The sequence below is a fragment of the Homo sapiens genome, chromosome 11 (assembly GCF_000001405.40).
Source record: "Homo sapiens chromosome 11, GRCh38.p14 Primary Assembly".
Lineage (NCBI taxonomy): Eukaryota > Metazoa > Chordata > Mammalia > Primates > Hominidae > Homo > Homo sapiens.
Window position 1 is genome coordinate 128,289,878 of NC_000011.10, and position 16,854 is coordinate 128,306,731.

At 41.8% G+C, this 16,854-nt stretch overlaps 2 long non-coding RNA genes across 3 annotated transcripts in view, besides 2 other annotated features; one reads left to right on the top strand and one right to left on the bottom strand.

The window, feature by feature from the left end:
- Positions 367–786: an enhancer, noted in NCBI's record as "active region_5713". NCBI's record gives its function as "activates an Ori minimal core promoter by ATAC-STARR-seq in GM12878 lymphoblastoid cells {active_cell/tissue: GM12878}" and the evidence as "EXISTENCE:reporter gene assay evidence [ECO:0000049][PMID:35858748]".
- On the top strand, positions 412–6,272 carry LOC124902786 (uncharacterized). 2 transcript variants are annotated; one of them, XR_007062945.1, is made up of 2 exons: positions 412–447; positions 3,235–6,272. It is a non-coding gene; the product is annotated as an uncharacterized LOC124902786 (long non-coding RNA). The 2 variants fall into 2 exon arrangements; XR_007062944.1 differs by lacking the exon at positions 412–447 and adding an exon at positions 523–915.
- A 6,177-nt stretch (positions 6,273–12,449) lies between these two features.
- The window catches only part of LOC124902787 (uncharacterized), a 31,955-nt gene continuing 27,550 nt past the window's right edge, over positions 12,450–16,854 (bottom strand). Inside the window, exon 2 of the long non-coding RNA XR_007062946.1 lies at positions 12,450–14,598. This is a non-coding gene — a long non-coding RNA (uncharacterized LOC124902787). The remainder of the gene's footprint in view (positions 14,599–16,854) is intronic.
- Positions 12,762–12,851: a silencer, noted in NCBI's record as "silent region_4053". NCBI's record gives its function as "represses an Ori minimal core promoter by ATAC-STARR-seq in GM12878 lymphoblastoid cells {active_cell/tissue: GM12878}" and the evidence as "EXISTENCE:reporter gene assay evidence [ECO:0000049][PMID:35858748]".

A 16,854-nucleotide genomic window follows, 5' to 3' on the forward strand; every position in this document is an offset into this window, starting at 1 on the left:
AAAATTACATGTAGGTCTTCTGTAGGGAATAAGTTTTATATAATCAAAGATATCCAGCAGTTTTACTATAACATCTCTTTTTCAAAATAGAATTTTATTCATCAACCCTTGCAGGGATAAGACAATGATGCAGAGAGTTTGTCCTATTAGTCTTAACACATGTTTGTACCTGTAAACTTAGGATTAAATCTGTCCTTACTTGGCATCAAACTAGAAGCCTAAATGTCAAGTAAAATTGAGTTATCTCAAATATCCCGGCCATTATAGAATATGGTTATTAGTCTGGGTCAAGGCAGTGTCATGTCTTCTAAAATCATGCCGCTAGAGGGAGTAAAACCCAGCAGTCTGCAAACCATCCCAGGCCAAAAGAGCAACGTTGTCTGTTTCACCTTTCTCTTTAAACAAATGATCCTCAGCTTGGTTGCCCCAGAAAAACACCAGCATCTGGTGAGTGGTGTTTATTCTGAGGTTACTCTTTCTAAAAATAGTTTTCTGAAAACTCGCCCTGGTCGGCTGGGAAGCACACAGGCGGAGTGGCGAGCCAGTGAATGGGAGGCTCTCCTGCAGCGGGGGCACCTTAGAGGCTGGTTGTGTGGGCCAAGAATGCACTCGAAGAGCAGGAACAGAGTTTGCAAGGGGGGCTGCCGGTGTCCACGGGAACCGTGGCAGGCCAGACACACCCATCCCTGGAGAAGCAGAAGGTCGGCTAGGAGCTATGAACATCCTTGCTGAGCCCCAGAAGTGAGGAGCAACAGGGGAGGAAGGAGGCTCCTATCTTGAAGCTGTTGGGCACCTACGCAAGTGGCACAGGGAGGGGCAGGGTGTTGGCTCCGAGTGAGAGATTTGCTTAAGCCAGATGGTGGCCGATGAAGGAGGCCCAGGCAACCCCTTCTGGTCTTCCAGACAGCACCACAGGTTTGTGTGGGTTGGAGGGGTGCTATCTGTCTGTCCATCCACAAGCACATGCCAGAAAGAAGAGGATGGAGGAGGTGAAGATTTTGGGGGGTTCTCATCATTTTCCCTTTCCAAGTTTCATCCTTATCCATGCTTCTAATCACATGGAGACCATTACCACTGGGGGAGTCATTTCCATTTTTCTTTAGATTCCATTCTAAAATCCCCTAAAGACCTAAAGTAAAGAACGTCAGCAGTGGCATTTCTATTCCTCTAAAGGGTATTTTAGACAATAATTTTGGATAGCCCCACACTGCATGAAGCAGGGAACTGCATGCCCTTCCTGCTCGGGAGCCCAGCCCTGCCTCCAGCAGCTCCAGCTTCCTTTCCTCTCTGTCATGGTGCTGCCTTCTGATGAGCAAGAAGTTAGTCCCGACTGGCCCTCGGCAAGCTGGGGCTTCTAAGAGAAGAAGGGCTGGGCTGCCCCCTGCAAATCCTGGATAATGCCACTCAGGGAACGGGAGAAGCTGATGCGCAAAATATGCCATACCCCGCTGCTTTCCTCTCACTCAGACCCCAAGTCAGGTCGGAAGCAGCTCTTCCAGACCTCCCCCAAGGCAAGTTGCTAGAGGATAAGGCTTTTATGTGTTTCCTGATAAATGTGTGGGAGAATCCAGCCTCCCTGGATACTGGAGAAGTCTCCTATCTGGAATTGCAGTGTTACTGCTGATCCAGCCTCCCTGGATATTGGAGAAGTCCCCTATCTGGAACTGCAGTGTTACTGCTGATCCAGCCTCCCTGGATATTGGAGAAGTCCCCTATCTGGAATTGCAGTGTTACTGCTGAAACATGTAGTTTCTGAGCCTTTGTGTTAAGGCAGAGAAAAATAGCAAACTTGGTATTAAGAGAATTCTGAGTTCTCATGCTTGCTCTATTCACAGCAAACTCTGATTTCAGACAATTCATTGCACTTCTCCAGGCCTCAGTTTCTTTGTCTATAAAATAAGAATGTTAGACAAGACTTTCTGTGATGGCTTTTCTGGTTCAAAATGTCCATGATTTCTGTCTGGTGAATGTACATGGGGTTTTATTGTTGTTCGTTTTTTGTTTTTTCTTTAACTATGTCTAGCCTACTACCCCACCTAAAAGTCAACAGAGAGAGCTCTGGGGTAAAGTGCATGCCAACCTCAGAGTGCATAGCCATACTGTGTAGGAGGAAGCAAATTTAGAAGGAAACAGGCTTCATTTATTCTGCCTGATATGGTTATCTCTCTGAGGCTTGTGCCCATGCAAGCGAGATGAGAGTGCGGAGGAAGGCGGGGGGACACGCTGTCAAATGTCAAATGTTTAGCAAAGACTTTGAACTCTGACAATTGAGTCTTCCGGTAACTTGTGTCTCTACTTTTGCAAAAATGGAAGACGGGGGAAAGAAAAAAGAGAGAAGGAGAGATAGGCAGAGAGAGAACAGAAAATGATTAAATATGACACCATGGTCATGTAGGTTTCATGCAAAAATTAGGCAAATAATATCTAAATTACTTGCAAGTAATTTCAGCCTCTTTTCTTTGGCTGTCTTTCAGAAAATCCCTGATAATAGCTCTGAACTAACACTGAATTCCAGGTCATCATGATACTCTTCCCAGCACATAGACATGGGGCCACCGCGCTTGTCCATGTGCTGAAAAGAGGCACAAATGTCCGAACCTACTGAGAATCATGCCAGTGTAGGATGAGAACATTCCTAAAGCCTCAGCCCTCGAGGGCTACATATTTGTTTAAGGAAAATAAGGCATGTGCATACACTAATGAACAATAAAATGGAACAGTGCAAGGTATGATTCGGGGCAATATTTTATAAAGGTCAAGTACACATAGGTGGGAAACACATCTAGGAACTCTCATGAGCAGGGTGGGAATTAAATGTTAAGGTGGGTGTGAGTTTATATATAATACAGAGGGGGTGTATTTTGAAGAAGAAATCATGAAAAAAATCACATTTAGCTGTCAGCCACCTCCTCATCTGCATGTTTTGCCAATCAAGGACATAAAATCTATCATTCTGTGCTTCAAGTCTCCACATAGTAACTAGAAGACACAGAAAATTCTTATTCATTTTGAATTCTGATAATTTAGTGCAGGAAATGGGTGATGGCAAACTGATTATGTATGAAGAGCCCTCATTTTGCTGGTGAAGCCTGGGTATGCCCAGCTACTAATAACAAGTGGTCAGGCAACCATGACAGCCTCCCTATGTGAATATAATGCTAAATGTATCTAAGCGAATTTAGGACCACCTGTTCTGATTTATTTTTTAATCCTTCAAATACAACATGGAGTTAGATGGCTTCTCCATCAAGACTTCAATCTCAAAGGGCAATACTGTGCGGCAAAAGAAGAGCTGGCTCCTGGAGGACTTCTGGGGCCCCAGGCATGGATCAATGTTTGCATCAGAAAAGAAAGCCTGTCAGCAATGGAGGTGCTGGAGGATTTCTGGAAGGGGGGGGCCTCATTCAAGACCACCAAGGGACTGCTGACTGTTCTCGTTCATGACGCCTCTCTTCAAGGAAATTGACCCTCCCAGAGTGCAAGACGGAGAAAAAGGTTCTTAAGAACTTCCCCTGGAAATCACCACTGAATGGATGCCAGGCAATTCTAGAATCTCCACTCTTTGGTTTTTTGGGCCCTTGGATGGATGAGAAGTGATGTGCAGATCTGATGGGAAAAATGGCAGAGACCACAGCTTCTCTCCTAAACCCTCATTCATTGCCCATCGGACAATTCTCCTGTTTCCGATCCTGTAAGGTCACAAGGATTTCTCATTTCAGGTAGACCAGAAAAGAAGCCACTGATGGAATGCTGCAAGAAGGGGTTTACCATGCGGTGTGATTTCTGGGACCCCTTCTTCCCTGTTGAAAATATTTCACAGGCCCCCAGGACCTCCCCCAAAAGACAAGGGCAGAAACCAAAGAAAATGCACTGTTCCAATTTTGTCCAGGCTGCCTGTGGAATGAGAAACCCATGAGAAAGTTATTGAGACTTCAGTTTTCTATTCCTCTCCTTATCCGGCCTCATTACCTCCCCAACCCCTGAGAGAAAAAATAAATAATTCACAAACAAAGGACGAGGGTGTGGTGGATTGAGAGCAGGTTTGCTTGGTGACAGGAGGACTCTGTAGAGGGGGTCTGTTGGGAGGTGAGCAGGAGGGAGTGGCTGCTCCAGAGCCCACAGTTCTGTCCAGAAAGGTGGAAGTAACACAGGCATCATGAAGGCTTCTGGAGGCAGGGGCTGAGCCCTCTCACCGCAAGGACCACAGAAGCCAGGGCTGGACTCCTGGCCCGGGAAGCTCCAGTCCCATGGACTCTATCCCACTCCTTTGTCTCTTTCTCCCTCCTGTGCCTGCCCCGCCTGCCCCTTGCTCTGTCTTCATCCTGGGAAGCCAGCTGCAGCATGTAGGAGAGAAGGGCTCTGTCACGGCTGTCTCTAGTGTGTTATTGTTAGTGTTACATTACAAATCCCGTTTCCATGCCAGGGTCCCTCGGGGGTCATAACCAGGAGAGGCCATGACCCTGTCAATAAACAGAACCCCAATCCTTAATGTAACCGTTTTGCATTCACTGAGCCGGCTCCATGGGTTTGTATACCAGATTCCGCTCCTAGGCAGGATCACTTCAGAGAGGCTCCCGTGGAAGTCAAGGTAGAGGGCACGTGGAGGTAGACCAGATGCTGCTCCTGCTGGCAAGAGGAAGTCAGGCATAGGTTTGGCTTGTGCTCCTCCAGAGCCCCCAGCTTTTCAGACCAAGGTGCTTTAGGGGTTCAACCATCACTCTGAAGTCTCTCTTGCTGCTCCCTTGCTGAAGTCTCTTTTCCCTTAGAAGACCCTCAGCAATAGAGAGGCCTTTGCTGATCTGTCAGATGTTTAGCCCTGGGGATTGTAAGTAAGACCATTGAGCAAAGAGGAAGCAGGGCAGGGAATGACCTGGCACACATTACTCAGCCAGGAGACATAGTTGACTTCAGCCCACTCTCAATTTTTTTTGTTGTTGTTGCAGATTAATCTGCCCAATATAGTGTGCTTTCCTTCCCAGTGCAGAGCCAGCTGATGAATGATGGGTAGAACCAAGTAAAAAGAAAAAAAAGAAGAAGAAGAACAGAAATAGAGTCTGCTCACTCATTCAACAAATATTTCTTGAGTACACAGTTCTGCACATGGATACCAGACAAGAAAAAGAATTATAGGGCAGTTTGATTGGCGCTATGGGTTGAGAAGCAATTTCTTTTTTTCTGTCTTGCATCTAACAGCCATGTATTTCAGAAGCTCTTGATGCCAATACTTGGCCTTCATAGCTATCACTCTCCATAGATCCCCTCTGCTTGGCCTAAAGATAAAATATTCCTGGGTGTCTGTTGTAGGGACTAAAATATTCACATTTGGAAAGAGATAGTAGTGTTAGACTTTGCCCGTCAAACACAGCCTCAAAGTTAATTACCATTGCCTGGCTTGTTTCTAAAACCACCAAGTGTCTATTTGAGTGTCTGGGGGAAGAATAAGAGAGTTGGGCTAAATGAGGTACTATTATTTCTGCTGAATTAATTAGACTCAATTACAGAGTTAGATGGGGTCTTGTAGCTCTAGGGATCAGCCCTTGTTTCCTAAATATGGGAACCAAAGCCTGGAAGGAGAAAGATGTTTGTCCCTAATCACAAACACAGTTCCTGGTCCTGGAAAAATGTGACCTAGGTGGAGAAAGAAACAATAAAAAACAGAAAAGAAGGAGGCAAAAGAGGAGCCAGTGACCAAAGGCAAGCTTCACTTATTTATCCTGGGTCTGCCCAGGAATCTAGCATCAGACAGTAAGAGCCAACATGGAGACAAGTCAGGCCAGTGACCTCAGAGGCACGCGGCCACTAGAAAGAAGCCCCCGATGGCATGAAGCTTTGTTCTCTGACATAACCTATGCATCTAGCACTGTGCCTGCCTACAGGAGGTGCTCAGTTACTAGGAAATTAACAAAACTGCCTTGCAGATCTTTCCTGGCTGAAGATGAGGAGTGAGGGAAGAGAAAGAAGACAACTAAATTAGGCCCTCAGCTCCTATTTCCAGAACAGTTCTGAGAGTGTCTGTTTCAGAGTTTGAGTTTCCACAACTGCCTTTGTTAACAGGAGGGATCTATAAAAAACCAATGGTCTGGACCAGGGGCTCCCACTCTGAAAGTCTGTGACTACCAGGGGCAGTGGAGTTCTTTCACGATTCGCCTAATGTTGTTGTCTTAGAAATAATACCACTTATACAAAATACAAAACCAGCAGGACTATTTCCCAAATAAATGTAAATGAGACTGGAATTAATAAAGGTAAATTCATTTTTTAAAATTACAAAATACATAAAATCCTTTTGCTATTAAGTGTCAATGAGCCATCATGAGTATAAAAACTATAGTATGTTTTATGACTGTATTGATATTTGGAAGGGATTTCCCTGTTCATAATGTTTGGAAACCACTGCTCTGGACCTGTCCCCTAATTTCATAGATAACATCTTATAAACTTCTTCCAGAGGGGAAGAAGGATGTGGCCAAAGCCACTCAGCCTTCTGGTAGCAGAGCTGGGTATCAAATTCAGGTCATCTCTGTCTTTTTCTTTACATCACATTTCCTGAGGTGGCATTTTCTAATACCTTGATCCAAAAGGACCACTCAGTTCAACTCAATTTATTTCCCAACTGGTGATGTTGGTAGCCTAAATGGTGTGCCAGGCACTGCATCCTCTAAGTGTATTATTGTCACCACCCTTACATCACCTCAGTGAGGCAAGTCCTATTATCATTCCCATTTTAAATGTTAAAAAAAAAAATGGGGACTCAAAGAGTTAGACAGTTTTTACCAGGCCACATGATCAGCAAAGTGCAAAGCAAAGCTCAAATTCTCTGACTCCAAAGCCCAGGCTCTCATGCACTTTACTGCACACGACTTAAGGAACACATTTATAACAAACACTGGTGTCCATTGAAATAAAATTTAAGGGCATTAAAGGCAGCCCTCGGCAGTGTCAGCGATGACCCCACAATGACTGCTGTGGGCAAGGAGTGGCAGGAGGCAAGAGGTCCCAAGAAATGCCCCTAGAGAGGCCGTTTCTCAAGTGGAGAATGTGGACCCCAAGACCAGAACCACCTGAGTGTTTCCTGAGAATATCATATCTTAGATTTCATCCAGAGCAGTTCAAACAAGATCTCATGAGTGGATCTGGAGTATCTGCAGTTACTACAAAAACCCCAGCTGCCTTTGAGCTCACCGTAGTTTGAGAATGAGAGGGCTGAGAGACCCCAGGCAGGGTGTCAGTGTGAGGAGATGAAGGAGCAAGAAAGTAAAAGTCAACAGCAGGCCCAGCTCCAGCTGCAGAGGAGCCTAGTTGAGCCTCAGACACACGCTTGATGCTTCACATAGGGCCATTCCCCACAGCCTGGCTTTCTGCAGAGGGAGGAGGGGTGCCTTTCATGGTTCTGGGTGTGCAGAAGGTTTGCGTGTGTTTGTTTAGAACAAAGCCTATACTTAACTGGCACAAGTGAAACAGATTTTATAAATAGATGTGAGCATGAATGGTTTTTATGATTAGCTTGTTTTTAATCACCATGCTTGACCGGTGTCTGTGTTCAACTAAGTAAATATTTCTATGGTGATAGTATACACAATACAATGGCCATTATTTAATGTTAATACAAGTACCATATGGGAGGTCTTATCATGCGAGAGCCCCAAAGCATAATAAAAGCAGATAGGAATAGATAGGCAAGGGTGGGCCTTGCTGTACAGCTGGCTTGATAAAACATCTGCTCTTACAAATGTTGGCCATGCAAGTATTTATGCAAGATGGTTCTCCTGGGGGATTTTGGGGACAAGATCAGAAAGCCATGGATTCTGCGTTTTCTCTGTTACTCATTTGGTGACCTTGGATAAGTCTCTATACTAATTGTTTAAACATTTGTGCTTTAATTTCTCAATTCTTAGGTCTTTGCCTGCCCTCCAGAGACTAATGAAGATTAATTAACACCTGGCAGAATCCTTGAGTTATATTTTTAGAACAAAGAAACAGGGAAGGGTGGTGCTGAAATAATGCCTCATTATTTTAACATATAAAAGGGAGACAATCCAGTACATTTTTCACTTACAACTGGAAATTTGAGAAAACTTGAAGCTTCCTGAGATTAGTAAAGCAGCCTTGTCATGAACAAAGCCTCTTAGGAAATGTACTAGGTTGCAAACCTCGCCAGATGACTTTTCACTCAGTAGGAACAACTAAGATGATAAAGGGCATGAAACTAGAATGATTGTCTCCTGAAAAAGGGCAAATGGGAAGGTTAGAGCTTTTAGTGTCGTGGAAAGGGACATTTGCCTGTTCACAAAGGCGTTACTCCTCTGATTTGCCTTTCATTTTTTAACTTGATGATACTACAATGTTTAGTGCAATCCAGTGCTCCTAGCCTGTTTATGTATTATCTGGCATCATCTTCAGCACTAGCTATGAATAGATAAGAGTGTTCCATTCTACGCCTTAGTCTTTTGCATCTATATGTTCTAATGAAAAGTATCAACAAGAACTTTTCATATTTGTTTTACACTTCCTGTCTGTAATATGCATTTGCATTCATGATGTCATTATAGGAGATGGGTACTATGACCACCCACAATTTAAAACTGAAATGACCTCCAAGAGGCGATTTATCTAAGTGCAGGGTTTAGTTGGTGTAGAACTGGAGCTCAGACCCAAGACCTGTGCTCTCTGAGTGCAATGATTAAGGAGACTCTGCTTATTTGTGAATTAGAAACTGGAATTTGGCCCCAGGAAGAGGAGCTCTCCTGGGTGGTCAGGCTTACTATGGGGAACTCTCAATTAGATTTGAGGGTGTGGGCTAGTGCATGTTTTCCTTCTGGAAGTGAGGGCCTCTCGCAAGCACCCCATCATCTCCCTGACCACTCTGGCAAATTAACAGAGTGTTAATTTGTTTCATTTACTATCAGGGTGCAAGTTAGACGTAGGTGAGAAGAGACAGTGCCTGACAAATGCTTAAGGAAAGAGATGTGAATTCCCAGCTGTGTTTTCTAAGGTAATAAGATTCTTTCCAGTTGATTTACTACAGTGACCATAAATCTAGAAACAATATGTTCTTAAATATATTTGGAATGGCCACTGGGGAATGGCTGGTTAGCGTAGTACATGGCATGTGGGCTGAGAAGGGAATTATACATATCTAGGTGGGTAGATGACTAGGTTAACCAACTGTTCTGCCTCATTCCCCGGCTTAAATGTACTAGTGAAAACTGAGAGAAGGGCAGGGAGGTGTCCACGTTCCAGGCAACATCATGGTCCAGTCCCTGTTCTGAAGACGTGTGCCTCATGCTTAGTCCAGAGCCTGCAGTCAAGAAAATCACCCTGTCTGACCCAAGGAAACAGCTCAGCCTGGTCAGAAACAGGCACTCCTTTAAGTGGCTGTGAGAATCATGTGTGCTTGTGTATTCACATGCTTGTGGCTCATTTAGTCCCAGAAGGAAAGAGGGGGTGGCAACGCAGGTTATTAACAGGATAGGCTGAACAGCAGGACCGGTCTGTGGCTGATTTCTGCTCTTCTCTGCCTTCTTGACCCAACCTCCATGCATGTTTCTTATTATGCTGTGGATTTGTTTTGCACTGATGGGTGGGAAAAGACCGGTGAAGCAATAATCGTGTAAGTGAAAGCAATGACTCTCTGGTGTCCTCTACAAATTTCCCACAGTCTTTGCTAAGGCCTCAGGGCCCTTCAGGGTTTAGAATTACAGCTTTCAGTAAATCTCCTTAGACTCACACTCACATGTGCTGTAGTGAGACAGCACCAAATCTGTCCTGACAATTCTTCACAAAGCCAGAACCAGGCCCTCTGTCCAAACACTGATCGGTGATGAGGAGTAACTGTGACAATAGCAGCTACCATTTAGTGTGCAGGGAGTGCATGGCAGGCCCTATTCTAACCCCTTAAATGGATTCACCGATTTAACCCTCACAACAGTTTTTGGTAGTAAGTGCCATCATTATCCACCTTTGACAAATGAGGAAACTGAAGCACAGAGAGAGGTGAAAGACTTGCCAAAGCTAGTTATCAGAAGAACCAGCACTCAGGCCTGGACAGTCAGATCTTAACCTATAAGCACCACCACTTTTCAGGGACCCAAGAATGAAAAAAGGACAAGAGTTTGGAGTTATTTCACTTCAACCTTAATATCACCAATTAAGGAAATGAAACATTCATTGAATAAGAACAAGAATGTTTTCCTTTACCAATGGAGACATTTTAAAGTAAGAATTGCACTTAGTTTCTGTCCCAATAGGGTTGCCAGCCATAAGTTTATGGTGTGGTTATCATATTTCAAAAGATTTTAGTGGAAAGATCTATGGGAAAACTGTTGAGTGGAGAAATCAGCTGTGTTTTGCCTATCAAGATGACACTACTGACCCAATGCAAGTTAGGCTTCTATGCTAAGTAATTTTTCTAGTTGTGTTGACAAGTTGTCTTGAACCATCCAAGCCTCATCTTTTCTTCCCTGTTGATTAGTTGGGGATGAGAGACAGATGATCTTGGTCTTTGGAGAAGTGTTTTATTTTCTTGTATTCAAAACTAAATAACCCAAATGAGGCAGCTTTGCCCTCACTAATTTTGTGTTTGTACCCACTGAACCATCCTCTTGCTTTCATAGGAATGAAGGAAAAGAACAATTTTGTGATGGTAGCTGGAAGCCTCCCAGGTATGGAACTTGAGCAAAATGCTTCTAGGAAGCATTTGGAGAAAGATAACAGCAGGTAAAATGCCAGTTAGAGGGTCCACTTATAAAGAAGAAGTCACAATTTTGATGTTTTCACCCAGCTTTTCTGTGGTCTCTTTTTAAAAAAATAAAAATACATACTTTTGATAACTTACTTTCTCTTAAGTGATAAAGTTCATGTAACTCTTGATGAGGTAAAATATATCCTAGGATAATATTATTCTAACCTGATTCTAAATCGTATGTTTTTTAAAAAAAATGTTGTAGTGTTAGTCAACTTTGGAGATCTAATCAATATAGACAGCTCTGAGGAGTAGATCACTTCCCCTACATTTTTCTTATTTTTTTTAAGAGCAAGTGTTCTTAAACTATTAGGAAGGTGTGTGTCATGTCATTTTTCATCTGTAGCCACATTTCCTTTGAAATTAAAAGGAGATAAAAGTCCCATCTGTATACTGCTAGCAGAAAAAAATTGCCATGAACTTTCCCCAAAGACATTATGAAAAGCCTTAACAACAAGCATACGTGAGAAAACAGCACACAAAAACCTTGGAGTCAACCTAAATGTCCATTAATACATAATATGTATATAAATAAATACAATAAAATAATATATAGCTGTGAAAAATAGAGAATAGTTAAATAACATAGAAACATGGCCATACTGCACTGTTGAGTGAAATAGCAACTTGCAAAGCAACAATATGTTAGCCCAGTTTATAAAAACAAAAATACATGTGTGTATATTTGTGTGATATGTGTTGTGATACGTGTAGAGAAGGACAAACTCAAAAGATTCATACAAAGCATACCAAGACAGTTTTTTCTTGGTTGTAAGACTGTATGATTTTCAGGCTCTTTTTTGTTTTGCATTAAATTTTGACTATAAAATGTAAAATAAATCCTTGAAAATCAATATTTTAAATTTTATTTCGCAGTACTTGCACTTCACTGTAATTCTTGGTGTTGCTATAAAGCTGGTTATATTTACTACTATAATTGATTCTCAACATTCTGTCCCATATTCAATTCTATGTAATGATTCTTATTCTGACCAGGCCTTTTAATAAAGATGGTTGCCATCTGGCCAGTTGTATCATTTAAGTTTTATCTTCTGCTGCTGATCATCATTAAGCTTTAAAAACCAATACTTTCATTAATATTTATACTTTTTTAAATTTTTTCAAGGTACAATAAATCATTAATTAGCCCATCTTCACGGTATGTTTTCCCATTTCCTGGGCTATGTGATTTCAGTCTAGCTGCAGTGTCTTCAAACTGCACCTCCTAAAAGCAACAGAATGATTCAACTGAACAACTATTCAACTATTACTTGACTATCCACAGGTGCAAAACATGACACCAGGAAGAGTGGGAACGACACCAATAAACAAAAATGAGCCCCTGATGTCAAGGAGCTCAGTCTAGGGAGCAAGAAAAACACAGGCATAAGTAATCCCAATGCAATGATTTGAAAAGCAGTAGACAAGCACTCATTCCAATTCCTAAATGCATTCTGCACCTCTGCCAACTTCTTACAAAATGCCCATTTGCTTTATTCTTATTGACATATTACAGATTGGAAATGTCTCAGAAAGGGAAAGCATGATACTGTACATCTTCAATAGACATAAATGCTCAGAAAGCAGGGACCTGCTTATATTTTCCTATGATGGTGACTTATTAACTAAAATCCAACCCACCCGTTTGGGAACCAAATTAGATAAGTTATCTCTTTGTGTCATCCCAGTTCACTGGCTCACCACTCTCTGGACATATAAACACTCTGTTTTATTTCGCAGATGAGGAAATTAGAAGACGGGGGAAACTGCAGCTTGTCCTTTTCTCCTCAAAAGCCCATTTCAAAGTCCACATTCGATTGCGGGATTACGCTTAAGAGGTGGGCTTCAGATCTTCAGTTACTTATCCAGCTGCAGGATGCCCTGCACTCCAGTAGGTGTTTAGAGTTTGAGACTGGACAAGTGAAGAGTCTCAAGGCAGAGCTGACTCCACCTACCGTTACACTGTTGAGCAGATGAGAAAACCAGGCTTAATGTTTGTTACCAGTGTCTCTTCCTATTTCTTACTGTGTGACAATGATCGGTATCTGGTTGCCTTAGAGACTGTCAGACCTGGCATCTCTGCGTATCTGCAGAACACTCAGTGGTTTCTGAAAACAGGTGTGGCCTGGTTGAGTGTAGCATAGCCACAAGTTTTTTTTTTTTTTTCTTTTTTTTTTTTGTTTAGGTTGCTTTGACTCTGGTGGCTTTTACCAACTTTCCAAATGTCACTCCCTCTACCTCAGGGGCTATTTGTCAAAGTTATTGGTAAACTAGTTTCTTACCTGTTTTTTCTCTTTATTTTAAGAGATAAAATACTAGATAGAAAAAAAAAGCTTACTGAAGCAAAAACTGGTTTTAAGTGACAATTGTGTGTTCGTTGTGGCTTGCACTTTGACAATTAGTTCTGGTCCTCTTGCTGATGGTGTGGCTTTTGAGGTAAATTGCATGAAGAAAACCAGTTCTCATTTGGTAAGCTCCAGTGGGTTGCAGAGTTGAGGGAGCTGATACTATCACCCACCACCATATATTTGGCCTTACTGGTATAGAGCTAATGACCAGTAAAGGTATTGAAAGTACATGGGTCAGATTAAGTAGGAAAAATAGACCCTATTCAGCTATGAACATTTCTCCAAAAAAAAAATGTACAAAAATGGAACTATTTGTAGAAAGTCTTAAAAATCAATGAATTTAGAAAAAGTTGGAGAAGCTGGGTATATTTTGAATAGAGAAGAGATAGTTTAAGGAAGTCAAGAGAGCTGACTTCAAATATTCAAAGAATAGCATGTGAATGCACAAATAACCATAATCTTTCAGGCCAAAAAAGTGGGCTGACGGCTTAAAAGGGGAAATAATTTGATCCCAAGAAGGCAATCCATTCTAACAACAAGAGCACATCTCACAGCAGTGGAACGGGTACCTCGAGACAATGAAAATTCCCATCTCAGGAGCCAACACCAGGTGGTGATTTGTCAGGCTTGCTAGGGAAGGATTCTTATAGCAGGAGGGAGATTGGATGAGACCTCTAAGGTCTTTCCCAAGTATAAGATGCTATCTATCTAATTAATTGTCAGTCAGACTCTTAGGGATTGTCCTGGGCTCTCATCTCTGTGTCGTTGAACTATAGATTCGCTTCTTCCTAACTGTGAGATAATTGAGTGGATTCACATCTTTAAGTCAGCATTCAGCAGAAAGCAGTGATGGTGGAGAGATAAATCCCCAGACTTTCCATCTGATTAATTGCTGTCCCAGAGCCTTGGTTTGGGAAGATCCAGGAGACCATGAGGTTCATCAGAGTTGAGAGTTAATCCCACATGAAATCAACCACTTGCTTCCCCTGAGAAAAAAATAATAATAATTTCCTTTTATTTTCTGGGTGTTTGGGTTTGAGAATGGGTTTGATCTTTAGTGTTTTTTTGTTTTGTTTTATATTTGTCTATGTTTGGTTTTAGGTCTGGAGTTCCAAAATGCAACATAATAAACACTTGCATGTCCAAAGCACTTTTGTCTGTTTTGCTGGTGAGAGTTGAAAGCAGACAATCTGCAGTCAAGTTTTGGTGTCAGATCAGTCCCCTGTGTAGCATGTAGTCTTGTGCATGCTGCTTTATTTTCTGGGTCGCCATTTTCTCATTTCTGAAATGGAGTAAGCACCGTTTTATAGGTTTATAAGAATCCAATGAGAAAATACATGTCAAGGTACTTTCTATGCTTTGAAGCACCTTTCAAATTTTAGTTAGGGTTATTTAAGTTTTCTGAACTGTGTGTTGTGGTCAGTGTAAGATATAAAAAGCTCTCTTCACTCCTTGCATTAGACATTTTTTTTTTCTCAGAAGTGACATTTCTTGATCTTCCCATAGGTTCTGTAGAAAAACAAATGATTGATTAGAACCATTGTTTTGGGTCTGCACTTGTAAGTAAAACAGAACATGAGTGAACACCTGGAAAATTATGTCTTTCTCAAACTTTCAACTCTAGGTTGGTATAAAATGACCAAATAGGCAAGCAGCAGGAACTATTGAGTTTCATTAAGCAAGGCTAACAACTAAGGTAATAAGCCTGGAAATTCACAGGAAAAGGAGATTCTCTCTATCAAACCCAAAGCTTTAAATCTTAGTGTTTATTAATGATTAGGATTTGACACCCCATAATTATTTTTGCTCTAGAGGGAAAATGTTCATAGAGAGTCCCTCGAACACCAGGCAGCAAAAGGAAACTCCCCCAGCAGAAGACAGAAAGCATTTCACAGAATGGGCTTAGCAGAGCTTCTCACGTGCTTGTGGAAAATAAAATGTGTGACCACACTGTACTAATAATCTCTACAAATAAGTATGTTGTTGCTTGATTCAGGCCTTGTGTGCATAACATTGTCTATATGTTTTGTTTTCTTTAAACAGAATCATAGAAGATAAGGAGCCACAAAGGTTCACTCTGTTTTCAAAGGTGCAGTCAAAATGTTACACTTCTAAACTGTGGCAACGAGACACACCCTGAAGAAAGAGAGCGTTACACCTTCACAAGAAAACAGAGAAACCAAGATACCTTGTGATGTCTTGTACATACCAAGAAAAATATGTCCTAACCTTGAAAGCCCATTTTGGGTGTGAGTGGAACCACATCATTACAAAACCAAAAAGCTGTATCTTTCTCATCCACTATACCCCTTCTTTTCCAAATGGACACCTGAGACTTTGAGCTACTTCATACAACAGAGTTTCACACTGGGACCTCCCACGTCTACCTGCATTTCAGGCCCGAATCTTTCCTGGCATCAGATTTATCATCAAGAACCTTTCTGTGGTTCATTTCTTGGGGCACAATTCTCTCGTGATGGGGACTAATCCCGTCAAATCATCCATTTTTGTTAACATTAATTGTGATATCCATTCCAGGTATCTGCTTTGTGTATAAAAAGGAAATTTCTGAAGATACAGCTTTATGTGAAAAGGAGTGATTTTAGTTGCAGAGGTTTCATACATAATGGGAGGCTGGTGAAAAAGATTATTCCTTGCTGAAAAACTCTGGAAAAATCATGCCATACAGAAAGCTGTCCACATGGCCTATGCATGGATTCAGTGCTGTGGGGGAAGGACATACTCTTTACACTTTTACAACTTCCTGATGTGAGTGGTTCACTCACAGGAAAAGGGGCAATGCCTTTGTACTGACACTTTCACCCCAAGTTTCCAGCCTGTGGAGTGGAAGGTAAAACTAAAGGCGGGGTAATCAGGCCATCATGAACAAAAATAGAAAATAGTGTCTTGGCATGCAAATACTGTGAATTTCATTTCTCTCTCTCCCTCTCTCTCTCTCTCTCTTTCTCTGCCCCCCATCCCCCAATCTTTTGAACAGTTCCAATGTTACTAGTATATAATTATGACAACTGGGCTTAAATTGAATACTAAGTTAATGCATTTTGACACTCTATTATTCATTAACTAAATTTCAGTTATTTAAGCATGAGATTAACAAACACTTTTGAGCATCTACTATATACTAGGCATTATGATGATTACTGGGGATATAGAGAGACCAGATGTGGTCCTTTCCCCAAGGAACTTACAGTCTACTGGACAGATAAAAATGAACAGTAAATGAAAATGCAGTTGCCCTGAACTCAGGGTACTATGGGAACTTATGGCAGAGATATCCAGTATAGTCTCACAGAGTCAGGAAAAGCTTCATGGAAGGCCATGATGTATGTGTTGAATCCTGAAAGAAACAGAACAGGAAAACCTGCAAAGAAAGACCAAGGATTTGCATTCTTGGCAATTAACCAGCCTAAAGGTAAGAGATATCAGGGTACCTGAGGGGAACTGTGAGTTTCCAGCTTGACCAGACACAAATAGATGAGGGAGAATTGAAAGACAAAGTCTGGAGAGAAAAGCACAGGGAAGATTAGATCAGATTTTGCATGTTTTTTGTATCATTTCCAGCCAAATGCCTGGTCGGATAGACCTTCTCAGAGGGTATGGCTTGAATGACTAAGGACACAGAATTATAATATTGTAAGGAATTTAGAAATAACTTAGTATTAACACCTACCCTCTGTGCATAAGTACTCTGTACAACATCCATACAGGTACCCAGAGCCTCTTCATTACCTTTGGAGGTAAATA